This window comes from Homo sapiens, chromosome 22, assembly GCF_000001405.40.
Source record: "Homo sapiens chromosome 22, GRCh38.p14 Primary Assembly".
Lineage (NCBI taxonomy): Eukaryota > Metazoa > Chordata > Mammalia > Primates > Hominidae > Homo > Homo sapiens.
The window spans coordinates 22,483,296-22,511,103 of NC_000022.11; the positions used below are offsets into that span (position 1 = coordinate 22,483,296).

The 27,808-nt window shown below is 41.5% G+C and overlaps 1 protein-coding gene and 1 further gene across 8 annotated transcripts; one reads left to right on the forward strand and one right to left on the reverse strand.

Annotated features, from left to right (window-relative positions):
* The window catches only part of IGL (immunoglobulin lambda locus), an 896,838-nt gene that overhangs the window by 457,220 nt on the left and 411,810 nt on the right, over nucleotides 1-27,808 (forward strand).
* Nucleotides 1,126-25,859, reverse strand: ZNF280B (zinc finger protein 280B). Of its 8 annotated transcripts, none has more exons than NR_130642.2 (5): nucleotides 25,364-25,447; nucleotides 24,515-24,575; nucleotides 10,768-10,885; nucleotides 3,566-6,171; nucleotides 1,126-2,683 (listed from the first exon to the last, which is right to left on the reverse strand). NR_130642.2 is itself a non-coding variant. In XM_047441145.1 (5 exons), exon 5 carries the CDS (start codon nucleotides 6,101-6,103, stop codon nucleotides 4,472-4,474), a length of 1,632 nt encoding a protein of 543 aa, XP_047297101.1. In that variant the 5' UTR covers nucleotides 6,104-6,171; nucleotides 10,768-10,885; nucleotides 24,128-24,199; nucleotides 24,515-24,575; nucleotides 25,364-25,447; the 3' UTR covers nucleotides 1,126-4,471. The 8 variants fall into 8 exon arrangements, 6 of the variants coding, with proteins under 6 accessions (XP_047297101.1, XP_047297102.1, NP_542942.2 ...); XM_047441145.1 differs by adding an exon at nucleotides 24,128-24,199 and having other exon boundaries at nucleotides 1,126-6,171; XM_047441146.1 differs by lacking the exon at nucleotides 25,364-25,447 and adding an exon at nucleotides 25,644-25,859 and having other exon boundaries at nucleotides 1,126-6,171.

The window sequence follows — 27,808 nt, forward strand, 5'->3', positions numbered from 1 at the left end:
AATAGAAACTTTTTTTTTTTGAGATAGAGCTTCGCTTGTTTCCCAGGCTGGATGCAACCTCCGCCTCCCAGGTACAAGCGATTCTTCTGTCTCAGCCTCCCAAGTAGCTCGGATAACAGGCATGCGCCACCATGCCTGGCTAACTTTTTTGTATTTAGTAGAGAGGGGGTTTCACCGTGTTAGGCTGGTCACAAACTCCTGACCTCAGGTGATCCACCCGCTTTGGCCTCCCAAAGTGCAGAGATTACAAGCATGCGCCACCACACCTGGCCCCAAAAATGGAAATAGAAATTATTTAAGCAATATACTTATTACCTTTAAGGGCAAATCATTTCTTATTAAAGCCAAGAACAAAGAAGCCCATTAACTCCATCTTAAATATTGTTTAGAAGTTCTGGCTGTAGTGCCGGGCACGGTGGCTCACGCCTGTAATCCCAGCACTTTGGGAGGCCGAGGCAGGTGGATCATGAGGTCAGGAGATCGAGACCATCCTGGCTAACATGGTGAAACCCCGTCTCTTCTAAAAAAAATATAAAAAATTAGCCGGGCGTGGTGGCGGGCGCCTGTAGTCCCGGCTACTTGGGAGGCTGAGGCAGGAGAATGGCGTGAACCCGGGAGGCAGAGTTTGCAGTGAGCCGAGATCAGGGGCCACTGCACTCCAGCCTAGCTGACAGAGCGAGACTCTGTCTCAAAAAAAAAAAAAGTTCTGGTGGTAGCAATAAGGCTAAAAATGAACACAAGTGGCAAAAAGGCAAAGATTATACAGTGGTACTAAATAAAAATTACAAACTAAAAATAGGCCAGGCATGGTGGCTCACTCCTGTAATCCCGGCACTTTGGGAGACCAACGTGGGCGGATCACTTGAGGCTAGGAGTTCAAGACCAGCCTGGCCAACACGATGAAACCTCGTCTCTACGAAAAGTACAAAAATTAGCTGGGCATGGTGGCACACGCCCATAGTACCAGCTGCTAGGAAGAATCACTTGAACTCAGGGGGTGGACATTGCAGTGACCTGGGATCGCGCCACTATACTCCAGCCTGGGTCACAGAGCGAGACTCTGTCTCAAAAAACAAAACAAACGTCCCATTTTACTTATGGTGGAAAAACAATACAGCAACAGCATTTTTTTCACAAAACATTTTATTACTATAATTGATATTTTACTTATAATTTTTGGCAACATTAATAAAATAATAAATTTCACCTGAAAGAACAAGCGAGCAAAATAGACAAGGAAATTCACAAAGGGCAATAACAAAATAGTAATCTTGACATATTCAATATATTTGTAAACAAAACAAAGTGACATTGCCTTAAAAATATATAGAGGTATCAATAGAAAAACAGAGAAAGCTCCTGAAAGAACTCACTATATTAATTTTCATTTGGTTGCAGGCACAGAAATTGACTCAAGCTAGCTCAATTCTAAGACAGAAGCAAAGCCCTTGATGATGATCGCTTTCCAGCTTTTTCATGAAAACCTAGGAAATTTAAATACTTTGAAGAGGAAGAAAAGAGTGGGGAGAGAGTAAAGTGCCTTTAAGAGGAAAAGTAGAAGTTTTTTTTTTTTTTTAAAGGGAGATCTCATTGTCAGTGGCATTTTAAGAGCCTTGAAGCTCAATGAACCAAAGGAAGTGTCAAACAATTAAGTGAGGTAGCAAGCCATGCAGGCCTAGGGGAAGGGCATTCTAAGAAAGACAACAGCATGTGCAAAGTCTTTGGATTGGGAAGAATGTGATTTGCTTAAGGAATAGCAAGGCCAGTGTGTCAAAATAGTGCATCATTGGGGAAAACAGTGGAGAAGCATGACAGAGAATGAAAAAGAGAGGAAGGAGGTAGGCAGGGGCCAGATCACTGGAATCTACAGTTGGCAATTAATGACCATATGTACTCCTTAAGAGCATGCTTTAATGAGACTGCAAACAACAGTGTTGATAATACCAACCAATCACTCAACATACAACTAAAACACTTCATATTTTTACCACAGAAACAGAATACGGGAGGTAAGTATGAAAAGTCTGTAGATCTATTTATACACAGTGGGAGTATCTACCTGAGACAAGAAAAACTGGCACACACACACCCACTTGCACACACATACCCTTTCTTCAACTAAAGAAAGGATTCAGGCTGTAATTTTAGCAAAGTGTCTTAACCCAAGCAACGTAACTGAAAAGACCTAGTATAGTGTTCAAGGTGCAAATCAATCAAATGAGTGTCCGGCAAATAAATACAACAGAATCTATGGATCTAGAGTCAGAAAATTTTCTAAAATGTAGATAATATACTCACAACTTCTTTGTTATCTGTACTGCCTTCTACTCTAAGAGGGATGCTAAGCTCTTAATTATCTCTTCCCGGATTTTTGTGAAAGCTTAGGAAATTTAACTAGATTGAGGAGGGAAGAAAGGAGTGGGGAGAGATAAGGTACCTTTAAAAAGAAATCAAGGAAAAAGGGAGAGATTTCTCCAGACCTATGTATGTCTACAGCCAAGATGGCGGATTCCTTGACTGGTGAAGACAGGCTGCTGGGCACCTTGGTCAGGGGTGGAGGAACAAAGGATGGCACCAGAACACAAGCAGGGAGACAACTCCGGGAGTCCACAGAGGCAGCCAAGACTGCTGATGTTCAGGAACCAATACTCAAAAGGTACTCCAGAATACTGTGAAACAGCCCCTGGGGAGAGCAAGGGAAAAAGATTCACCCATAGTACAGATTAGATAGGATAGATCAGATGAAGGACATTAACTCTAAGTCTTAAAACTTATTGAATTAGAGAGACATTTCTTGCACACTGGTGTGTGTCAGGTAAGACCCAAACAGCATTAGTGTCAAAAAACTGGGAAACTATACATTTAACAGAATAGCTGCAAGCTGTAATACATTCATGTCCAAAGCAAGACATAAAGTTGCAAGCTTCACATGTTCAATTAGGGTAAGATATATATGCACAGAAAAATATAAAGCCATTATGGGTTTAAATTCAGTCAGTCACCCTGGGCTATTTTTGTCCACTGTACCTACTGTTGTTGGGACAGTCCTCATTCCAGCTTAACAGTGGGAAAACTAAATTTAGCCCAGTCCAGGAACTGGACAGACACCACTTGTTTGGCCCTTTTCAGTTAAAACTATGGGTCCAGTACAGTTCAAATTATAGATATTAGGGCTTCTTCCCCTTGGGAAACTTGCTTTACAGCTGTGGCTGAGAATATGGCCAGTTCATTCTCCACTAACGGCTAGCCAGAAGGGAGAGGAGAGGGAATGAATCAAATTCACCTTTAGATCACAGAACAGGAAGTCAGCTAGTACCAGGCACCATTCTATTAATTTTATTGCTATTTCACCTCAAACCAATGATACATGACGGCTGTTTGATGTCTGCAGGGGCCCTTCACCAAACAAAAGCATTTTACTTTGAATGGTTTGGCTTCCTTGGATGTTTTCAGGTAGGTAAAGACACTCTGAAGCAGTGTTCCTTTTGACCTGGCCCCAAGACTAGAATGAATGTGTGCCTATACTTCAACTAGAACAAAGAACCACTGCTCTCCCTCAACTAACCTCCGCCTTCTTGGTCTCTGCTCACGCAGCAGCTTCTCTTTCAATTCCACATCCTGGCTTTTCAGAATCTTTTCAGGTTATTTTATGCCAGCACAGCAGAGGCACTTCTGGGAATTCGGCAGCAAGTGGGCCAGGGCATAACAAAGCCATTCCAGTCTGACTAGAGTTAACCATGAAATGCTGAATGCATGGAAAAAGCTGTAAAGAAAACTAAGTATTTCAAAAATTCTATGAATTCTGTATATAGAAAAAAGAGCTTTCAAGCTTAGGAGTAACATGAAATACCAAAACAATAAATAGGTGCCAGGGGCAGTGACTCACACAACCCAGCACTTGGGGAGGCTGAGGCAGGAGGCTCCCCTAAGGTCAGGAGTTCGAGACCACCCTGGGCGACATAACAAGATTCCATCGCTACAAAAAATTAAAATAAAAAATTAGCTGGGTGTGGTGGCTGCGCCTGTAGTCCTAGCTACTCTCCAAAGGCTGAGGCGGAGGAATGCTTGAGCCTGGAAGTTCAAGGTTGCAGTGAGCTAGGATCACGCCACTGCACTCCAGCCTGGGTAACAGTGAGACCCTGTCTCTAAAGTAAAAAAAAAAAAAAAAAAAAAAAAAAAAATTAAAATTAAAAAAATAAATTAATACCTTTTTCTCTCTCTCACACACACACACAAACACCTTTTATGTGTTAAGCCAGATACAGTTAACATGAAAACCAGATGTTTTAAAATAATACCTCAAAATTCAGATCAAATAATATATATCCTGAATCTTGTTTAAAAAGTCATATATAATCCACTAGTTTCACTATTTTTGGTGCTACTGAATAATGTATGGTTTGTATTTTTTGTTTTATGAGGTTTTTTAATTTGGTTTGAAATACTTGCTTTAGATTTACTGAAACTAGAATTAATGGGACTTTTTTGAAATTTTGCTTTTAGACCTGGGGAGTGATGGTTCAGAGTCAGATGTGCTCACAGTTATGGATGCTACATCCACTGATCCTGGCTGAAGAGGTTCCAGCGACACTTGAATAGTAACTTTTGTTTCAGGAGGTAATCCTTCTAGTTGCTTAGGCTTCTTAAACATTTGATGACACTGGGTCTTGTGCTCCATTTTCTCCTTGAAAGTTAAAAACTGTAGCCGGCACTTGGAACACTGGTGTGCACTCTTTCCCCAGTGGCCCCTATAATGACACATGTATGGTGTTGCTGTTTTGAAAATTTTGAGACAAAAGGGACAAAGCAAATTCTTTGTGTTTTCATGGCACGTTCTAAAATGTGTTTCTACATCAGCAAAGACCGACGATCTATAATGGCAAACCTGGCACACATAGGGCATTTCGCCAGGCTTATGATGGTCCTTCATGTGTTGTAAGAGGACCTGATCTGTTTCAAATGACAATTCACAGATTTTACAGACAGTAGAGGGCTCCTGGGCAGTGTGGACATTTTCGATGTGACACTGTAGCTGGAAGGGAGTGGGAAACTGCCGGTGGCAGTGCTGGCAGGTGGTGTGGTTTTCCCAGCTGTCGTTCCTCTGCTTCTCAAATTCCAAATGATGCTTCACGTGATTCATAAACTTAACATTTTTTAGAACTTTCACGCAGCTGAGGCATTTAAAGGTGGTGTGAGTCTTCTGTTCCGGCTGCCCTTCTCCTTTATGCTGTCCATAGTAAAAGTCACTAAGTAACACAATGGGATTTTCTTTCTTGGGATCAAAGGTCTTGTTTTGACTTGTTAGACTCAAAATGTCTGTTTTTGCCAATTCATTTGCCCTATCAAGATTTGTATTTATAGGCTTGAAATGGATATTGTCCTTTGGAAAAGCTGCTGGAAAAGGTGCTCCATTCTGAACATGGCTTAATGAGGTATGAACATTATTTGAGGGTGTACTTTGCTGAGTATTCATTGTATGAAAGGTATCTGAAGGGAATGAAGCTGAAGAATTTCCTTCTATAATTCCATCCCTGAGTTTAGCCCTTTTGGGATTTATGCTGTTTACTTCGAAAGTGGAAAGTTGCTTTGATACACGAGGACTTTCATTTATACCTCCTACTGAAAGTGCTGTACTTACTGGATGATGCAATGAATCTGTGAATGTAATCAAAGGAGAAGGTAATTCTGAAGAGTTATTAGGCACAACTTGTGGTGAACTATTTCTATAATCAGGTTTAGACAAAGGCTCAATAATAATAGGACTATCTGTTGATCTCGATTCAAGTTGGGAAGCTGGCAGGACGGTCACTGCTTCTGATGTAACGGTCTCATGACTTTTAGGCTGCAATTTGCGAGCAGTATCTTTTCTAAGGTGATCATACTTTTTTCTCCTTGACCATGAACCCGGGGTGACTCTGTTCAAAATGTTTGAAACGACTGGTTTTGAATTTGAAGTCACCCCAACAAAGATTAGCTCAGCATCTTCATTTACATGTTCCACACCAACAAAGATGAGCTCAGCATCTTCGTCATCTACTTGTTTGGTTTCTTGTATGTTCTTCTGTGGTTCAGGCTCTTTCTCTTCCTCACATGATTGTTCCATTTTCTAATTTTTTTATTCCTGAATGGTGGGGCCACAAGTCCCAATGCTTCCTTTATATAAACTGCCACCTAAGTACAAACATACATCAGTAAGTACAGGAAAATGCATTACCTTATTTAATTTTCCTCCAAAACATTGTTTTTATAAACCACTATTTTACCCACAAGGACACTGAGACTGAAAGAGGATAAATAACAGCTTAAAACCTGTGATAAAAGATCAGGTTCCTATGAATCTAGAATCATAACTTTGCTGTACTGATTGTGCTCTATTCCATTTTAAAAAAAAAAACCTACCAGCAGCTAATCACTAGGCAAAATTATATGGAAAAGACACACATTTTTATGAGGGCATCATTGTGCAGTGTTTAGAAACATGGGCTTTGGAGTTGAAGAGTAAGCTGGAATCCTTAGTCTGCCACACACCAGATGCTTCCTCTTTAGCAAGTTTTTTACTTTTAAATGTATTTTGCTATCTTAAAGGCAAAAATTCTTATTTCTTAGACTTACAGTAATAGCTGGTTTTTTAAAAGCACCACCTATTCAATGGCAGCTTGATTTGTAGTGGAATTGGAAGAAAATTACAATAAATGAAAATATCTCAATTGATTCATATATAGTAATCTCATAAACATTAATATAGAAAAGAGGTATTAAATTTATAGAGTTAGAGTACCTACACATAACCAACAAACAGCATAGCACAATGTCAATTGCCAGGCAGATAATCTCATCCCAACTCATGGCCTTAATTATAATCCATTCAGTAATGCCTCCTAAATTTTCCCCTCCAGTTCTGACTTACCCACTGAACTTAAACACAACAGTGCTTCCTCCTCAATCTCTTCTCCACATAGCAAGCAGATTGATTGTGTTAAACAAAGTCAGACTGTATCATTGTTCAGCTCAAAACCCTCAAACGGCTTTCTGATTAACTGAGAGTAAAAGACCAAGTATTACCAATGCCTAGAAGACTACACTACCAACCCCACATACTGCTCCTGCAGTTATCTCATACTACTCTCCACTATCCACTTCACTGTAGTCACACTAACCTCCTTGCTATTTATTTTAATTTTTTAAATTAAATTTTATTTTTTTGAGATGGAGTCCCGCTCTATCACCCAGGTATATATTTCAGCTCACTGCAACCTCCACCTTCCAGGTTCAAGTGATTCTTGTGCCTCAGCCTCCTGAGTAGCTGGGACTACAGGCATGCACCACCACACCCAGCTAATTTTTGTATTTTCAGTAGAGATCGGGTTTCACCATGTTGACCAGGCTGGTCTTGAATTCCTTATCTCAGGTGATCCACGTGCCTTGGCCTCCCAAAGTGCTAGGATTACAGGGGTGAGGAACTGCACCTGGCCCTCCCTGCTATTTCTTGAACATACTAAGCTCTTTTCCTTGCTCAAAGCCCTTGTTCCTTCCAATATGAATGATCATTTGGGTATCCGCATGGCTAGCTCCTCACTGCCCTTAGGGCTCTATTCCAAGTATCCCTCTCGGTGAGGTTCTCAAATATTCCAACCAACCTCTAACCCACATTCCTAATCTCTTTTCCCTTTTCTTTCATCCCCAAAGCCCTATCACCATTTAACATATTACGATCCTATTTATCTTGATTATTTTCTATTGTCCATCCAGTGGAACATAAAACTCAAAAGGGCAGGTATTCTATCTTTTGTTGACTGTTGTATGCCCAGCACAAAGAACAGTGTCTGGCACAGGACAGGTGCTCAACAAATACAGAATTTGTTAAATGAATCAATAAATATCGACTCTCCTTCATAAGATCCTTTATTTTTAAAGAAGATTATGCTCCATTAATTCCACATTTTCTATGAATTTACTCTGAGAACTTTATCCATTGGAAATTCCGTAGGCCAATAAAGGACTTAAAGCTAGCTTTTTACAAATATTTGACCACAACCAATAGTTTAAAAAAAAAAAAGTTATATGGAGTCCAATTACACAAGCACATACACATAAATAATAACTACCTTTACTACACAGGCTGCATTCTAAAATTTTCTATTTCATTTTTCTTGTCTTTTTTCTTTTTTTTTTTTTTTTTTTGAGACGGAGTCTAGCTCTGTCGCCCAGGCTGGAGTACAGTGGCGCAATCTCAGCTCACGGCAACCTCTGCCTCCCGGGTTCAAGCAAGTCTCCTGACTCAGCCTCCAGGGTAGCTGGGATTACAGGCACATGCCACCACACCCAGCTAATTTTTGTATTTTTTAGTAGAGACGGAGTTTCACTGTGTTGGCCAGGCTGGTCTTGAACTCCTGACCTTGTGATTCACCAGCCTCGGCCTCCCAAAGTGCTGGGATTACAAGCATGAGCCATGGATTACAAGCCTGAGCTGTGCCCAGCCTCATTTTTCTTAAACTAACCACAGACCCACAAAATCAGTTAAGCCTCATCACTAGGTCACTACTAGTTGTTTCAAAAACTGGTCTAATGCTAGCAAAATGTACGCACTAGAAACCAAGGTTCATAACTCACCAATTTCTAAAAACATATCAAGATTCACTGTATCCCCATGTGGACCCTTCAAATCAGCATAATCCAAAGCATAAAAATTAAATTGACATCTAATAAATGCCATGCACATTTGTTTTAATTTTAATTAGGATATCAGTATCTAATTTTGGAACATATAGACAATATTTATTCCTATAAATATGTGTATCACCTTGGAAGTGAATTTAAAAAGGAATACAATATTAAGTAAGCATTGTCAACTATATACAAACTGGTGTATCATGAATAGTGATTTACAACTTAATCAGTAGATATATAATGCCAGAAAAAATATAAGGCAGATATGAATACACTGCTCTCTGGAGTCAACTAAAATTGGTTTAGTCTGTCTATATACAACTTCAATCGCCTAACTCCAGGATGATGTCACCTAGCCCAGTGTTTCCTAAGCATTACTGACATTTGGGACTAGATAATTCTTTGCTGGGGGCTGTCGAGAGCACTGTAGGATGTTTAGCAGCATCTGTGATCTCTACCCACTAGAAACCAGCAGTAGTCCCCCAGGGTGGCAACTAAAAATGGCTCCAGGAATTACCAAATGTCCTGTGGGAAAACTCCTGCCCAAATCCAATCTTCTCAGGATCACTTCCACATTTCCAGTAACTACCTTCTACATAATTCTAAATGTATTTTCTAACATCCTCTCTAAAGAAAATATCTGGCTGGGCACGGTGGCTCATGCCTGTAATCCCAGCACTTTGGGAGGCCAAGGCAGTTGGATCACAAGGTTAGGAATTGGAGACCAGCCTGGCCAACATAGTGAAACCCTGTCTCTACTAAAAATACAAAAAATTAGCTGGGCCTGGTGGTAGACACCTGTAATCCCAGCTACTTGGGAGGCTGAGGCAGGAGAATCGCTTGAATCCAGGAGGCGGAGGTTGCAGTAAGCCAAGACCACGTCACTGCACTCCAGTCCGGGTGACAGTGCGAGACTGCATCTCAAAAAAAAAAAAAGAAAATATTCTAATTCACAATCATTAATATTCTCCAATATCCTAAAAAATCAGACTATAATCTGACAACATGGCCATTAGATTTATCTGAAGATTAATTAGTTTATTATTGTTATTATTTTTTCTTTTTCAAGACGGAGTCTTGCTTTGTCACCCAGGCTGAAGTGCAGTGGCACGATCTCGGCTCACTGCAACCTCTGCTTCCCAGGTTCAAGTTATTCTCCTGCCTCAGCCTCCCGTGTAGCTGGGATTACAGGTGCGCCACCACGCCCAGCTAATTTTTGTATTTTTAGTAGAGACGGGGTTTCACCATGATGGCCAGGATGGTCTTCATCTCCTGACCTCATGGTCTGCCTGCCTTGGCCTCCCAAAGTGCTGGGATTACAGGCGTAAGCCACCATGCCCGGCCAATCTGAAGATTAATTTTTAAAGCCCCCAGAAGTTTATGATTTACTAAAGTTATATGGAGGGTTTGTAGACAGAGTTAGCACTAAGATGCCTAATTCCTGAATTCTGGTTTTGTGCTCTTTCTGCTAAAACTGACTTAGTGCACACTTATTTCTGATGATATTGCTGTTAACTGCTTAGTCTTTAAGAATTAAAGTGTCTCATTGGATTCATTTTTTCACTCTCTATTTTGTAAACCTGTTCAAACCTCCTCTACCTCCCAGAAAATGTCAAAGTACCTTATAAGCCATTTTAAATAACTTTTAGAGCATCACTCATTCTACCTCTCATGTCCATTCCTATTAATGGCCCCCAGCCCAGGCCGCAACTTCTAGGTTTAGGTCCACTGGTTACTTCATTTTTGTACACTTGTACTAGACCCTAAATTGTTCTGTCTCTTTTCTCTGTCCTTCAAATTATATAACACAACACCACAAGATGGATCTTAAAACACAACTGTAATTATATCACTCTTCTATCCCTAAGCGTTAAATGATTCCTCCAATTCTAGAGAATATTTTAGGTATACATAATTTGTGTTATGCTATGGGCTGAACTGTGTTCCCCCCACCCCCAAATTTGTATACTGAAGCTATAACCCCCAATGTGATGGTATATAGAGATGGTGGCTTTGGGTAATAATCAGGTTAAGATGTATTCATGAGGATAGGGCCCTCATGATGTGATTGGCGCCCTTATAAGAGGAGATATCACAGACCTTGCTTCCTCTTTCTGTCATGTGAGAACACAGCAAGAAGGCTGTCATCCACCAGCCAGGAAGAGAGCCTTCACTAAGGAACCAAATCGTCCAGCATCTTGATCTTGAACTTCCCAGCCTAAAAATGTGAGAAATGAATTCCTGTTGTTAATAAACCATCAAACAAGTAAAGAAGAAAAACTTAAACTGGGTTCTAATGACACTGCTGGACTTCCTAACCAGTTGCTCTTGGTTAGATTTTTGGCTGTTGTCCATACTGATTAACCCTCCATCCAACCATCAATCAAGGTGAAAAAGAGGAATAGAGCAAGGATCAGGAACAAAGCTAATAAGTTAATGAACAAGTTCATTAAGAACAAGAGTAGCATTAGACCATGAGAGTTTTCTTCTCCTCTAGATGTCCAGAGACCCTTCTCTACAAATGTCCACCAATGGATGAATGAATGCTTATTTTCCAATTTGCCAGAATCTTGAGATACTGGGGTAGGGAGGTTAGACATGCAAAGATATATCAGATCTAACAGGTTTGTCCTCAAAAATCAATTCTCACCTCCCATGATGGGAGAAGCCAATAGGAGGGCTTCAATTCCAAAGAAAGCTGAGAGATCAGTGGATGATAACCCACCTTCCAGATTATTTCTATGCATTCAAACAATGGCCCTTCTACTAGATCATTGTTTTTTGTTTTTTTTGAGATGGAGTCTTGCTCTGTCACCCAGGCTGGAATGCAGTGGCGCAATCTCGGCCCACTGCAATCTCTGCCTCCCGGGTTCAAGCAGTTTTCCTGCCTGAGGAGCTGGGATTACAGGTGCGTGCCACCACGCCTGGCTAATTTTTGTATTTTTAGTAGAGATGGGGTTTCACCATGTTGGCCAGGCTGGTCTCAAACTCCTGACCTTGTGATCTGCCTGCGTCGGCCTCCCAAAGTGCTGGGATTACAGGCGTGAGCCACCGTGCCCAGCCTCTAGTAAACCATTGTTATAACCACACACGAGTTTTTAACCACACACATACTCTTCTGAGGAAAGGCTTCCCCAAACTATTGGTCCTTATGATGAGATCTGGCCATATATATTTTTCTTCTGAACCCCAGGATTGTGGGGCTGTCACATTTCCTCTAACAGTACACCTTAGGAGCTCCCAGACTTGAAGAAAATTGGCTGTTTCCCACATTTGAACATTTTCCACTTTTTCCCTCAGTCTACCTTTTTGAATTGATTTCTGACTACTTCTAGATAACCTTTTTCCATTAATGAATATTGAGTGCTTATTGTGTGCCAGGCACTGCTTTAGGCACTTGAGAGAAATCGGTAAACATTAACAGACAGAAATGAACAACAAAAACAAACTATTTCAACAGAAGGAACTAACAAACAGTCCAGTGGAGGAAGAAAGATAGTAAGTATAATAAAAATGCAAATTCTCTGGTGAACTGGAAGATGACGTTATAGAATTAGGAAAAAAATAATAGAGCAGGCTTAGAAGTTGAGGAGGTATAAGAGAATTGTAATTTTACGTAGTGTAGTCAGAGTAAGTCTCATGGAGAAGGTAAATTTGGACATACACTTGAAGGGGATAAAAGGTCAGAGAGGTAGCAAGAGTGGAAATAGTAGTAAGGATCTGTAAATTCTTCATTTTTCTCTCAGTTTAGTCTGTGGCAACTGTCATGTCTTTTGATAAGGAACGACCTTGGTTTAATAGTTACTCCCCTCCTAGACTCTCAGGCTAGATTTTTTTTTTTTTTAATTGAGACGGAGTCTTGCTCTTGTTGCCCAGGCTGGAGTGCAGTGGCACAGTCTTGTGCACAGTCTTGGCTCACTGCAAACTCTGCCTCCCAGGTTCAATTGATTCTCTTGCCTCAGCCTACCAAGTAGCTGGGATTACAGGCGCCCACCACCATGCCTGGCGAATTTTTGTATTTTTAGTAGAGATGGAGTTTCACCATGTTGGCCAGGCTGGTCTCGAACCCCTGACCTCAGGTTATCCACCCACCTCGGCCTCCCAAAATGCTGAGATTACAGGCGTGAGCCACTGCGCCTGGCCTTTTTTTTTTTTTTTTTTTTTAAGATGGAGTCTCGCTGTGTCACCCAGGATGGAGTGCAGTGGCACAATCTCAACTCACTGCAACTTCTCCTGAGATGCTTGTGCCTCAGCCTCCTGAGCAGCTGGGACTATAGGTGTGCGCCACCATGCCTGGTTAATTTTTTGTATTTTTATTAGAGATGGGGTTTCCCCATGTTGTCCACACTGGTCTCGAACTCCTGACCTCAAGTGATCCACCCACCTTGGCCTCCAAAAGTGCTGGGATTACAGGCGTGAGCCACTGTACCTGGCCTCTCAGGCTAGTTTCAACCCTATTTTACACTCCTCTACCATCCTCAGCTTACTTTTGAAAAAGTATTTATTAAAAAATATTTATGAAAAAGTTATTTTTGTTTTATTTAGTTGCCCTGGGATGGAATACAAATGTTTGCTGTAGTTTTAAGGATCCTATAAAACTCCCATTTACTGCAAGGATCTCTGTTTAATGGGCATTCAATTCTAAGATAGCAAACGTGTAGAGTTATTTGTGGGGGTGGGGGACAAGTTTGAGAAAGAAGCAGTGGGGTGAAGAAAGTGATAGGCAAGGGAAGATGGTGGGGATAGGTACCATAGGAGTCCTGGTGGCCTAAAATCTAATCACAGAAGTTACTCAAGTGGGACTGATGCCTGAAAAAAATTTGTGTGTGGCTATAACAGTGAGTGGGATCTACTCTTTTTTTTTTTTTTTTTGAGATGGGAGTCTCGCTCTGTCACCCAGGCTGGAGTGCAGTGCCGTGATCTCGGCTCACTGCAACCTCCACCTCCTGGGTTCAAGCAATTCTCCTGTCTTGGCCTCCCAAGTAGCTGGGACTACAGGCACATGCTACCACGCCCATCTAATTTTTGTATTTTTAGTAGCGACGGGGTTTGATCATATTGGTCATGCTGCTCTCAAACTCCTAACCTCAGGTGATACACCCGCCTTAGGCTCCCAAAGTACTGGAATTACAGGCGTGAGGCACCGTGCCCAGCCTGGGATCTACTCCTAAGCAACAGAGAAAATCAGTCATTTTTCCCCTTTTCCTTCCCTTCCTCCTATGAGCAGAATCTTGGTCTCCATCTTTAAAAAAAAAAAAAAAAAAAAAAAAAAAAAAAAAAAAAAAAGGCCAGGCACAGTGGCTCACACCTGTAATCCCAGCACTTTGGGAGGCCGAGGTAGGCAGATAACCTGAGGTCAGGAGTTCGAGACCAGCCTGACCAACATGGTGAAACTCCATCTCTACTAAAAACACAAAAATTTGCCGGGAGTGGTGGTGGGCGCCTGTAATCCCAGCTACTTGGTAGGCTGAGGCAAGAGAATCAATTGAACCCGGGAGGCGGAGGTTACAAAGGAGATTTGACAGGGTGGCAGTTCAAACTAAAAGTGGTCTGATAGTTCAGAGTCAAGTTTCTTCACTAAAGCTGAGTTTTTAAAGGGCTTGAAGAATGATGTAAAGAGGGGTTGTGGAGGACCACAAAAAAAGACAACTAAAAAAAGGCATAACAAAGTCAACTTATTAAATGCCCAGCAACAGGGTGAAGTTAAGGGGAATGGTGGAATAAAGACCTACAAATAGCTGCTGCTTCATAAAAGCAAAGAGAACACTAGCAAAAACTACAAAAATCACGTTTTTCAGATCCTGGAAATTAACGAAAGCTTGTAAAACTCAAAAGATTTTATTACAAAATGGCTTGGCAGTTCCTCAAAATGTTAAACATAGACTTATGATCCCACAAATCTAAGTATACACTCAAAGAAATAAAGGTACTCAAGTACATGTATACTTGTTTATAGCAACAACTCATAATAATCAAAAGGTGGAAACAACCTAAATGTCCATCAATGGATGAATGGATAAACAAACCATGGTATATACATACAACAGAATGTTTATTCAGCCATAAAAGAAACGACATACTGATACATGCTACAACAGGGTAAACCCTGAAAATATACCATGTAAAAGAAGTCAGTGACAAAAGCTCATATATTGTATGATTTCATTTACAGGAAATATCAGAAATAGATAAATCCATAGATATTAAACAAAGATTTGTGGTTGCCAGAAGATAGGAAAGGGAAAATGGTGAGAAACTGCTTAATGGGTAAAGGGGTTTTACTTTGGAATGATGGAAATGTATCAGAACTAGATAGAGGCAGCACACGTACAATATTACAAATGCACTAAATATCACTAAACTGTTTATTTTAAAATGACTGATGTTATGTGACTTTCACCTCAATGAATTATTTTTTAAAAATAAAGAGGGTATATTACTACCAACCACACAGAAATAAAGAGAATTATAAAGGAATACTATGAAAAATTATCTGTCAACAAATTAGATAACCTAGATGAAACAAATTCCTAGAAAGACAGGAACTAATGAACTGACTCAAGAACAAACAGAAAATATGAATGGATCCAAAACAAGCAATAGAATTAGTAATCAAAAAACTTCCCCAAATAAAAGCCCAAAATCAGATAGCTATGCTAGTAAATTCTTAACGTTTTTAAAAGAATTAACACCAATCCTTCATTAACTCTTCCAAAAATTAGAAGAGGAGAGAAAACTTTGCACATCTTTCTATGAGGCTAGTTATTACTCTTACACCAAAATCAAACCAAGAAATCATATAAAAAAAAAGAAAACTACAGGCCAATATCCTTTTTTTTTTTTTTTTTTTTTGGAGACGGGGTCTCGCTCTGTCGCCCAGGCTGGAGTGCAGTGGCGTGATCTCGGCTCACTACAAGCTCCGCCTCCCAGGTTCAGGCCATTCTCCTGCCTCAGCCTCCCGAGTAGCTGGGACTACAGGAGCCCGCCATCACGCCCAGCTAATTTTTTTGTATTTTTTAGTGGAGACGGGGTTTCACTGTTTTAGCCAGGATGGTCTCAATCTCCTGACCTCGTGATCCGCTCGCCTTGGCCTCCCAAAGTGCTGGGATTACAGGCGTGAGCCACTGTGCCCAGCCAATATCCCTTACAGAGGCAAAAATCCTCAACAAAATGTTAGCAAACAAAATCTAACAACATATATAACGATTACATACCATGACCAAGTGGGATTTATTTAAAAAATACAAGGATGGTTCATTCTATGAAAATCAACCAACAATAATTTTATTTTTATTATTTTTAATTTTAATTTTTTTTTTGAGTCGGAATTTCATTCTTGTTGCCCAGGCTGGAGTGAAATGGCACGATCTTGGCTGACCACAACCTCCGCCTCCCGGGTTCAAGCAATTCTCCTGCCTCTGCCTCCCAAGTAGCTGGGATTACAGGCATGCGTCACCACGCCCAGCTAATTTGTTTGTATTTTTAGTAGAGACATGGTTTCTCCATGCTGGTCAGGCTGGTCTCGAACTCCCGACCTCAGGTGATCCGCCTGCCTTGGCCTCCCAAAGTGCTGGGATTACAGGCGTGAGCCACCATGCCCAGCCTATACCATTTTAATAAAGGACAAAAACTACACCTGCCTGCAGAAAAAACACTTGACAAAAGCTAACATCCTTTTATGATTTGAAACAACAAAACGATTGGGAATAGAAGGAAACTTTCTCCACCAGACAAAGGCATCTGTATGAGACTCACAGCTATTATAGTATCATACTTAATGGTGACACTGAAAGTACCCCTGCCCCTAAGATCAGGAACAAGACAGATATCCACTTTAACCACTTCAACTCAACACCGTACTAGAGGTTCTATAGCCAAGGTAATTAGGCAAGAAAAGGAAGCAAAAAGCATTCAGATTGGAAAGCAAGAAGTAAAACCATAATGGAGATGACAAATACAAATAACTCAATTTTTTAAAAGGCCAAAGAACTTGAATAGACATTTCTCCAAAGATGATACACAAAAGACCAAGTAAATATATTCAGTGTCATTAATCATAAAAGCAATGCACATTAAAACCACCTTGAGATACCACCTCACACCTAGTAGGATGACTACTATTAAAAAACAAACATTGTTGGAAAGAAATTAGAATCCTCATGCACAGTCACTGGATTGTAAAATGGTATAACTACTATGGAAAACAGTACAGAAATGCCTCATAAAATTAAAAACAGAACTACTATATGTTCTAGCAATCTTACTTCTGGGTATATATCTAAAATAATTGAAAGCAGGGTCTCGAAGAGATACTGGCACACCCATGTTCACAGAAGGACTATTAAAATAGCCAAGGGGTAGAAGCAACCCAAATGTCTACCCAAAAATGAATAAACAAAATATTATATATATATATATGCACACACACACAATAGAATATTATTCAACCTCAAAAAGGAAGAAAATCTGTCACATGCTACATGTTTGAACCTTGAGGATATTATGCCAAATAAAATAAACCAGTCACAAAAAGACAAATACTTTTGTATTTGTATAATTCCACCTATATGAGGTAACTAAAATAGTCAAATTCATAGAAACAGAAAGTAGAGGCCGGAAGCAGTGGCTCACACCTGTAATCCCAGGACTTTGGGAGGCTGAGGTGGGCAGATCATCTGAGGTCAGGAGTTCGAGATCAGCTTGGCCAACATGGCAAAACCCTGTCTCTACTAAAAAAAATACAAAAATTAGCCAGATGTGGTGGCAGGCACCTATAAACCCAGCTACTTGGGAGGCTGAGGCAGGAGAATTGCTTGAACCCAGGAGGCGGAGGTTGCAGTGAGCTAAGATCACGCCACTGCACTCCAGCCTAGGCGACAAGAGAGAAACTCTGTTTCAAAAAAAATTAGCTGGGCGTAGTGGTGGCACACACCTGTAGTCCCAGCTACTCGGGAAGCTGAGGCAGAAGAATCCCCTGAATCTGGGAGGCAGAAGTTGCAGTGAGTGGAGATCGCACCACTGCACTCCAGCCTGGGCAACACACCAAGACTCCGTCTCAAAAAAAAAAAAAAAAAAAAAACAAAAAACCAAAAAAACAAAAAACAGAAGGTAGAGTAATGGTTACCAAGGGCTAGGGGCAGAGGAAAAGGGTGAGTCTGTTGTTTAATGGGCATTGTTTCAGTTCTGCAAGATGAAAAAGTTCTAGAGATCTGTTTCACATCAATGCTTGAAACTACTGAACTATTAATTTAGAAATGGTTAAGGTGGTAAATTATATGCGTTTTTACCACAATAAAACAATTCATTTTAAAAACAGGCCCCAATCGGCATGGTGGCTCACGTCTATAATCCCAGCACTCTGGGAGGCCAAGGTGGGAGAATCACTTACAGTCAGGAGTTTGAGACCAGCCTGGCCAACATAGCAAAACCCTGTCTCTACTAAAAATACAAAAATTAGCCGGCATGGTGGCACGCGCCTGTAATCGCAGCTACTCGAGAGGCTGAGGCAGGAAGAATCACTTGAATCCAGGAGGCAGAGGTTACAGTGAGCCGAGATCATGCCACCACACTCCAGCCTGGGCGACAGAGTGAGACTCTGTTAAAAAAATAAAATAAAATAAAAAATAAAAAATAAGCTAGACACAGTGGCTCATGCCTGTAATCCCAACACTTTGGAAGGCTGAGATGGGAGGATCGCTTGAGCCCAAGAGTTGAAGATCAGTCCAAGCAATGTAGTGAGACCCCTTCTCTACAAAAAATTTAAAAACACAGGCACAGTGGCTCATACCTGTAATCCCAGTATTTTGGGAGGCTGAGGCAGGAGGACTTAGTCAGCTCAGGAATTCCAGACCAGCTTGTACAACATAGTGAGACCCTACCTCTACAAAAAATTAAAAAATTAACCGGGCGTGGTAGAGTGTGCCCGTGATCACATCACTGCACTACAACCTTGGTGCCAGAGCAAGACTGTCTCAAGAAAAAAAAAAAATTTAAATTTAGCTGGGCATCATGGCACACGCCTGTAGTCCCAGCTACTCAGGGGTGGAATGAGGCAGGGTGGCAGCTGAGATGGGAGGATCACTGGAGCCTGGGAGGTTGATGTTGCAGTGGGCCATAATTGTGTCACTGTACTGCAGCCTGGGCAACAGAGCGAGACCCTGTCTCAAAAACAAACAATAAAAAATGGGCGAAGGATTTGAACACTTCTCCAAAGATACACAAATGGCCAAGCAGCACATGAAATGCTGCTCAATATAGTCATTAAGGAAATGCAAATCAAAATCACAATGAGCTATTACTTCACATCCACTAGGTTAGTTATAAGCAAAAACAATCTCAAGCGTTGCAGAGGATGTGCAGCTATCTGAACCCTCAAATACTGCTGGTGATAATATAAACTTGTACTTTGGAAAAGTTTGGCAATTGCTCAAAATTTAAATATGGCGTTACCATATGACCCAACAATATCACTCCTAGGTATATACCCAAGAGAATTGAAAATATAACACATATATAAGCTAGCTGGAATATAGCCATAATGCTGCTACAAAGTGCAAACAACCGAATGTAAATTAATTGATAAATGAATAAACGAACTGTGGTATATCCGTACAATGAAATACTATTCAGCCATAAAAAAACTAAGTACAAACAAGCATACAATACGGTGTACCTTGAAAATACACTAAGTGAATAACACCAGACACAAAAGGCCGCATATTTTATTATTTTACTTATACAAAATGTCCAGAATAAGGCAAATTCATACAGACAGAAATAAAGTAGCAGCTGCCATGGGCTCGATGAAGAAGAATGAAAGGAATATAGCAGGTTTGAAAAATGGCCCCCAAAATATCAGGTCCTAATCCCTTAAGCCTGTAAATGATACCTTATTTGGAAAAAGGATCTTTGCAGATGGGAAAATTATCCTGGACTATACAGGTGGGCCCTAAATGCCACCACAAATGTCCTTGTAAGAGAAGCAGAGGGAGATTTCACACATACTCTAGGAAAAGGTGATGTGAAGACAGAAGCAAAGATTAGAGTGACATGGTCACAAGCCAAAGAACGTCACATCCACAAACTAGAAGATGCAAAGAATGGATTCTCCGCTAGAGTTTCCCAGGGGAGGACAGCCCTGCCAACATCTTGATTTAGGTCTTGTGAAACTTATTTTAGACTTCTGACCTCCCGAACTAAGGGAGAATAAATTTTTGTTGTTTTATGCCACCAAGTTTGTGATAATTTGTTATAGCAGCTATGGAAAAGTAATATAGGGAGTGACTGCTAATGGATACAAGGTTTCTTTAGAGTTGATGAAATGTCTTGGAATTAGATATTGCTGATGGTTGTACAATTTTGTAAGTATATAATACTAAAAACCATTCAATTTCACACCGCAAAGGGTGAATTTTATGGCATATGAACTATATTTCAAAGAAAAACAAATGCCTAGTAACAGGCTGGTATAACCCCCCATCTCCCAACAACTGCTGCTAAATTTTCAAAGCACCATTAAGCAGACTCAATTCGTAGCAAGGATAATGGAACAATGCAAGCTCATCTAGCGAACAAAAAGAATTAAGCTAGTATCAGGTGGTCAATTTACAAACTGTAGTGGGAGTCATACATTCCCAAGGATGGAACAGTTATATCTCCTTGCAGAGTGAACTCTTCTCCGATACCAAGGACTTGGAAGACCAAATAAATTATACGTAGGATTACCAAATATGCTGGTATGACCAAGACAGTTATAGTTTAAACTTCTATCTCTGTGGAATTATGGATAGTGCCACTCTTCAATCTTTAATAAGTCCTTCAGTTTAGATGATAAATTACATAGTCAACCTAGTTATAAGGAATCTAGAGGTTGTGAAAAGCTGTGAGAGCATATTCTATGCAGACCACATAGGTCCTATCATGACTCCCTATGTAACTTGGGTCTCTGCGACTGGGAAGCTCCCAGGGAAAAAACCCCAGTTAAGACTTCTGCAGAGCATTCACATTTTGTTTCAAACTTATACAACACTAATGCTAAAGCTCAACTCTCAGAATTGTATTATTCAGTATTATCCAAATAACTGATTAATTTACACACTGAAGGGAAAGAACAAGGAATGGACCTAAACACACTTGTAGTTTACAAGTATAAGAAGCTAACAAAGAATAAGATTAAAATAACTTGTGCCAGGCCGGGCATGGTGGCTCACGCCTGTAATCCCAGCACTTTGGGAGGCTGAGGCAGGTGGCTCACGAGGCCAGGAGTTTCAGACCAGCCTGAACAACATGGTGAAACCCCATCTCTACTAAAAATACAAAAACTTAGCTGAGCGTGGTGGCACACGCCTGTAATCCCAGCTACTCAGGAGGCAGGAGAATTGCTTGAACCCGGGAGGCAGAGGTTGCAGTGAGCTGAGATTGTGCCACTGCACTCCGGCCTGGACAACACAGCAAGACTCCGTCTGAAAAAAAAAAAAAACAAACAAACAACTTGTGCCCACATTAACTAGGTGTTAAAAGCCAAAAGGTGAAAGTCACTATTCTCTTTTCACATATCAAATTGACCCTAAGGTAATATTGCTGCATTAGAACTGAGCTGGTGGGAGGGATGTTAAGAAATTAGGGAGAAATTGTTAATCTACAGAAAGACCATCATATAAGGTTCTGTGTGTAGCCAAACATACACATTTGATGTTCTGATGTTTGCTATTTTAGTGGAACTATAGCTATAAAATGTATTCAATCAGTAGAATTAAAACATATCCCAGTCCACAAAAAACTAAGAGAGAAATTATACAGGAATGATCAAGAATCTGCACAGTTCTCATAATCTCATTACTACAGAGAAAAGGAGAAAGGGAAGCATCAAGGTAGTATTTGAGACGAATTTAAGAAGACCACTCATTCAATAAAAGTTTGGTGGGCCAACAAGGTGCCATGTATTGGTCTGGTGATATAGCAGTGATCCAAAGTCTTTCACTTCAGGGAGCTGACATTCCAGAAGGGGTAGTCAGAAAATAATTTTTTTAACAAAAGTAACATGGTTATATAAACACTAGGGAGAAAAATAAAGTAGGAAATGGAGGCAGGTTGATACTCACATAACATGAATATGGCTATCTGGGGAAGAATACTCCAACAAAGGGAACAGCAAACACAAAGCCTCTGAGACTGGAGCACTTAACACATGCAAGGACTGATCAATAGGCTAACACAGGTGGACCAATGAAAAGAGTGACAAGTTAGAAATGAGATAAAAAATGAGCTGTTTGTGGCAAAGGAAAGCCAAGATCATGTAGGCCATTCTAAATTCTTCAGCTTTGGCCAGGTGTGGTGGCTCACATCTGTAATCCCAACACTTTGGGAGGCCGAGGCGGGTGGATCACCTGAGGTCAGAAGTTCGAGACCGGCCTGGCCAACATGGTGAAACCCCGTCTCTACTAAAAATACAAAACGTAGCCAAGTGTGCTGGCACGTGCCTGTAGTCCCAGCTACTCGGGAGGCTGAGGCAGGAGAATTGCTTGAACCCAGAAGACAGAGGCTGCGGTGTGCTGAGATCATGCCACTGCACTCCAGCCTGGGTGGCAGAGCAAGACTCCATCTCAAAAAAATAAATAAAAATAAAAATAAAATAATAATAATACAAAAATTAGCTGGGTGTGGTGGCGGGCACCTGTAATCCCAGCTACTTGGGAGGCTGAGGAGGAGAATCACTTGAACCCAGGAAGCAGAGGTTGCAGTGAGCCGAGACTGCGCCATTGCACTCCAGCCTGGGTGACAGAGCGAAACTCCATCTCAAAAAATAAGTACATAAATAGACAAAAAATAAAAACAAATTCTTCAGATTTTACCCTGAGTGTGATGAGAGATTACTGGAAGGCTCTGAGTGAGAAGTAATATGATCTCACTCATTTCATTAGGATTGCTGTGGCTACTGTGTGGAGAATAGACTTTAGAGAGTAATAGTGGAAGCAGAAGACAAGAAGCTACTGAAATATTATGAACAAAAGATGATGGTAGTATCAGACAGGATGGAGAAATAGAGATACTAAGAAGTCGGACTCTAGATAAAAATCTAGAAGGCCCACAAGGTTCATTGATGGATTGGGTTTGGGATGTGAAGGAGAGGAGGAGGACACACAAGAGGTAATGCTGAGCAGGTAAATCTATGAGATCAGAGCCCAAGGAAAGTTCCGAGGTAGGTACTTAAATTTTGAAGTCTTCAGTATGTAGCATTATTTAAAACACAAGACTGGATGAGATCACTCAGGGAAAAGAGGTCTGAGATCTAAGCTCTGGAGCATTCCATTGATTAGAGGTCATGGAGATGAGAAGGAGCTGGTAAAGGAAATTAAAAAAAAAACAATTATTCACAGCCATTCAGGTGGGAGGAGAATTGAGAAAGAGAAGCATCCCAGAATCCAATGGGGAGGAGAAAAGGAACTGTAATATATGCTGCCAATAGATCAAATAAAATCACGAAAATCAACTAAAACTGACCAATGGATTAAGCAAAGTGGAATTCATTGGTGACCTTGACAGCAGTGGGTTTAAGGAAGAACGAGAACAGGAGATAGCAAATACGGACAACTCTGGAGAAATTTTCCTGTAAGGACAAGCAAATACAAATTAAAACAAGCAGATGGGAGATGTGGCATCAAAAACGAGATCTTTAAGGTGAGGTGATGGTACAATCAGTATGTTTGCTATATTAATGATCTGGAGAGATAGAAAACTTAACCCTAGACAAAGAGAAGTCTTGCTAGAATAATATCCTTAAATAAACAAGTGCACATGTAGAGGTTCTGGCCTTAGCAAGAAGTCAAATTATTCACCCAGAGTAACAGGACAATGCTTTGAGATCCTATGGAAAAGGGTTAAATGGTGGATAAATGGTTGCGGTGGCCATCCTCCAAGATGGCCCTAAATGAATCCCACTTCCTGGAATTCACATAGTTGTAGCCCTCTCCCACTAACAGGGTTGGCCTGTGGGATCAAGCACATACAGCAGGAAGTGATGGTATGCCACTTCAGAAATTAGGTCATAAAGACTCTGCCCTTCATCTTGGGTACAAGGTCTCTTGAATCATTTGCTCTGAAGTAAGCCAGCTGCTGTGACATGAACAGCCCCATGGAGAGGCCCACAGAGCAAGGAACTGAGGCCTCTTGCCAACAGCCCAGTGAGTGAGCTTAGAGGCAGATGATCCAAACCAAGTCAATTCCGCAGAGACTGACAATCCAGCCAAGGGTTTCACTGAAACCTCATGAGTGACCTTGAGCCAGAAACAGCCAGCTAAGCCACTCTTGGATTCCAGACCTTCAAAAACTATGAGGTAATAAATTTTTTTTTAAACTACTAAGTTTTGAGACAATTTGTTACACGGCAATAGATAACTAATACAATGGGTCTCACTGAGCTGTAATCACAAATTGCTGGGCACACAATTCACTATAATCTCACCTACTGGCATGCAATGACTTCAGATGACCTCCCCTGTCCTGCTGCATGCAGTTACCTCATGAAATACAGTCGCTGAGAAAGAGGGTAGGATAAAAGGAGTCAGCTTTATATAACTTAACATCCCTGATGCTCTTTTTTTTTTTTTCAAGAGATGTGGTAAAAGAATGCCACTACCACCCTCTCCTTTCTCAACAAAGCAATTTAGAGGGTTCCCGAATGACCTACATCAACAATTGGCCTGAACTAATCAAACACATCATTCAGATTCCCTCAGTAAAATATTGAATACCAAACAGCTATGTTTCAGCAAAGGAAAGGGCAGGGGAGCGAAACTGAAGGACGAAAATACAACTTTGGTCCTCATCAGGGAGACTTCTCTTTTCTTACCTCAGGTTTATTACAACGCAACTTTTAAGAACTTGAGCTATTCCAGGCAGAAGGTCACATCCTTGAGGTAACCAGAGAGAAGCATTAGTTACTTACATGTCACAAGAATATTTTCGATCCCACTGCCTGACATTGCCATTTAGGTGTTTATCAATCATCTCACACTTAACCAGATAAGTGAACTGAACTCCTTTCCCCCAGATCTGTTCCTCCAATCTACCCTACCTTAGCAAAGGAAAACGTCCCACCCGCCAACTGCCCAAATCAAAAGCCTGCAAATCACCCGAGGTCCTGGCTCTCACGGGAGGGACTCCATTAGGGTCCCAGGGGCTGCATTAAGAGTCCCGACAGCGACGCAGTAAATGAGACAAGACGCTGCGGTAGGGGAGAGAGACCCATACATTCAAATGCCTTAAGGGGTCTGGGCCTACAGGTCTCCAGAACTGGGGAGGGCCTGGGGTTACAAAGCAGTTTTCAGATTTTTAAATACATTGAGCGCCAAAAGAGACCCCGCGGGGGCGATGGGGGAGGGGAGCGCACTGGGAGCCAGGAAAGGCCCCTTCTCCAGGAGGCCCGGGCCCAGCCCGGGGGTGGGGGCGTCTGCGTGAGGGAGTGGAGGCTGATGTAAAAGTGGCGCCCGCTGAGATTAGGGAAGGGGGTGTGCGTGAGGGGATCGTGGGACCTGCTTCTGCCCTGCACTCCCCCACAGAAAGCGGCTGTATTGCAAAGGCCGCTCCGGCAGCGCACGGCCAAGCGCGGTGTCGCGACCCGCAGGGCTGCGGCTCGCCATGAAATCCCTCAAGTCTCCCCTCAGGGAACGCTGAAGCCGCGCCACGCCCCCGTCCTTACCAGTCCGGATCAGCTGCTGTTCGCGAGCTGCCGGCCACGCACCAGCCCCGGAGGCGCTCCCGGGGCACAGCCGGCGGCGACTACGCCTCCTCAGGCCCCCGGCGCCGCCGACGCGCACGCCTCCACACGCGCGCGTCCAGTGGAGACCTGCGATTGGCTGCCAGGTGCCGGCGCGAGATCGGCGCGGCTCCGAGCTAGGAGCATGCGCGCGCTCTGACGCCCCTGGTGGCGACGGCTGGACGCGGGGTTAAATTGAGAAGGAGGAGGGCAGCAGCAATACCCCTGAGGCCTTGAAAGGATCTTGGGTTCCGGATCACGGTTCCAGGCAGTCAGGGTTCCAGAGCTGAGGGGGTATCCAAGCAGTCAGGGTTCCAGAGCTGAGGAGCATCCAGGCAGTCAGGGTTCCAGAGCTGAGGGGCACCCAGGCAGTCAGGGTTCCAGAGCTGTCGCAGCCAGGGCTTGGGGTGGGGGGTAGGCTTCCAGTCCATCAGGGGATGGTTTGCCCACCAGAAGGCCAGCTGTTATAATTCTCAGGTGTGGTCCCTTTGTTGACTATCCATGCTTAAGGGATTGTGAGGAAACAACTGAACCTAACATCTGTCCTCTTCTAGTTACATCTGGGGCCAGTTGAATCCAGCCTGCCACCTGTTTTTGTACAGCTGGCAGCAAGCTAAGAACCGATTTCACGTTTTTTTAATGGCTAAAAAGAGAATATTTTGTGGCATGTGAAAATTATATGAAATTCAAAATTCAGTGTCCATAAATAAAGTTTTATTGGAACAACAAACATGCCCATTCCTTTCGGTATTATTTATGCCTGTTTTCCTGCTTCAACAGCAAAGTTGATTAATTGCCAGAGACCATGTATGAAAAGCTTAAAATATTTACTGTCTGGCCCTTTACAGAAAGTTTGCCCACTCAGTTTACTTGCAGCTTTGATTTTTTTTTTGAATTGACCAATTCTGCCAAAAGTCTATTTTAGCAATCTTTTTGGGGGGCGGGTAAATCGCTTTTGGTTTAATTAATCTATAATGTTATTTTCTTATCTATTTTATCTATTTCTTCCATTCTGTTATTTTCTTCCTTCGTGACTTCATAGGCTTGTTCTGTTACTTCTCATTACAACTTTTGGAGAAAAATGCCTACCTCGTTTGCTTGTAAACTTTTTTGTTTCTCTTGTATTTAATGCTATAAATTTACCTTTAAGTACCAGTTTAACTGTGTCTCACCAGTCCGCTTGGTAATATGTTCATTATCCTTCAATTAGATATGTCCTAATTTTGCTAGTTGTTAGAAATGCTTGTTCCCTGGTGCCGCAAAGAAATAGCACTTGAACATAAATTTAATTTTCTCAGCAAGGCCATTTTCACTTTCTGCAGAAAGGGTACACTCGCCAGCAGTTTTGCCACGAGAGTACCCCAAACAAAGGATACAGGGTTATTTATAACCTGACGCATCCACCCTACTGCTGTGTCCGGTTTCCATTGGCTGGAACAGGACCTCACATTCTGTGTTTGTCCCGATTGGCTAACAACTTAGAACTTTCTAAAAGAGGCAAAGGCAGAGGAGAACAAAGGAAGGAGGATGTAACTTGTAGAATGCTGAGAAAGGTAAAAACACCTCCAAATAGGAAGAGGAACAGGCTATGACCTAATGCTTGCTTGGACCAGTATAAGCATGCAAGGGCAAATATTTAGGCTAAATTGTGGGAGCTAAGAACACAAAGTATATTAATTTCTTTATTACGGCTAGCAGATATCTAAGAATGTTAGCACAGGTCTTTGAATAAATTTTACTTCTAAGAGAAGTTACTATTTATTCGTAATTAGACAGGGAGGAAAGTCTTTGAAGAGGAACCTCTATTTTTTACATAGTGATTCTTTCTAACACAAGGGTTATATAGTATATGTTATTTATTTTTGAAATCTATGAGATTTTTAAAAGATTTTTTAATTGTATTATAATCAAATCACATGGCCTAAATATTACTCACCCTTGCATTTGAAGATTTCTGTTCAGTGAAGTGTACCATAGTCAAAATGAAGAGATCATAGATGTAAAGAAGATATTTGCAGTATCTAAAATGTATATATGAGGCTGATATGTAAAGATATTTGCATTATCTAAAATGTATATATGAGGCTGATATGTAAAGAAGATATTTGCAATATCTAAAATGTACGTAAGAGGCCTGGCACGGTGGCTCACACCTGTAATCCCAGCATTTTTGGAGACCAAGGCAGGCAGATCACTTGAGGTCAGGAGTTCAAGACCAGCCTGGCCAACATGGTGAAACCCCATTTTTGTACAAAAAATACAAAAATTAGCTGGGTGTGGTGGCACGCGCCTGTAGTCCTAGCTACTCGGGAGGCTGAGGCATGAGAACTGTTTGAACCTGGGAGGCAGAGGTTGCAGTGAGCTGAGATTGCACCACTGTACTCCAGC

Bases quoted from the DNA above. Each gene is read 5' to 3' on its own strand.
- ZNF280B (XM_047441144.1), bottom strand. From the start codon at position 6,103: ATGGAACAATCATGTGAGGAAGAGAAAGAGCCTGAACCACAGAAGAAC.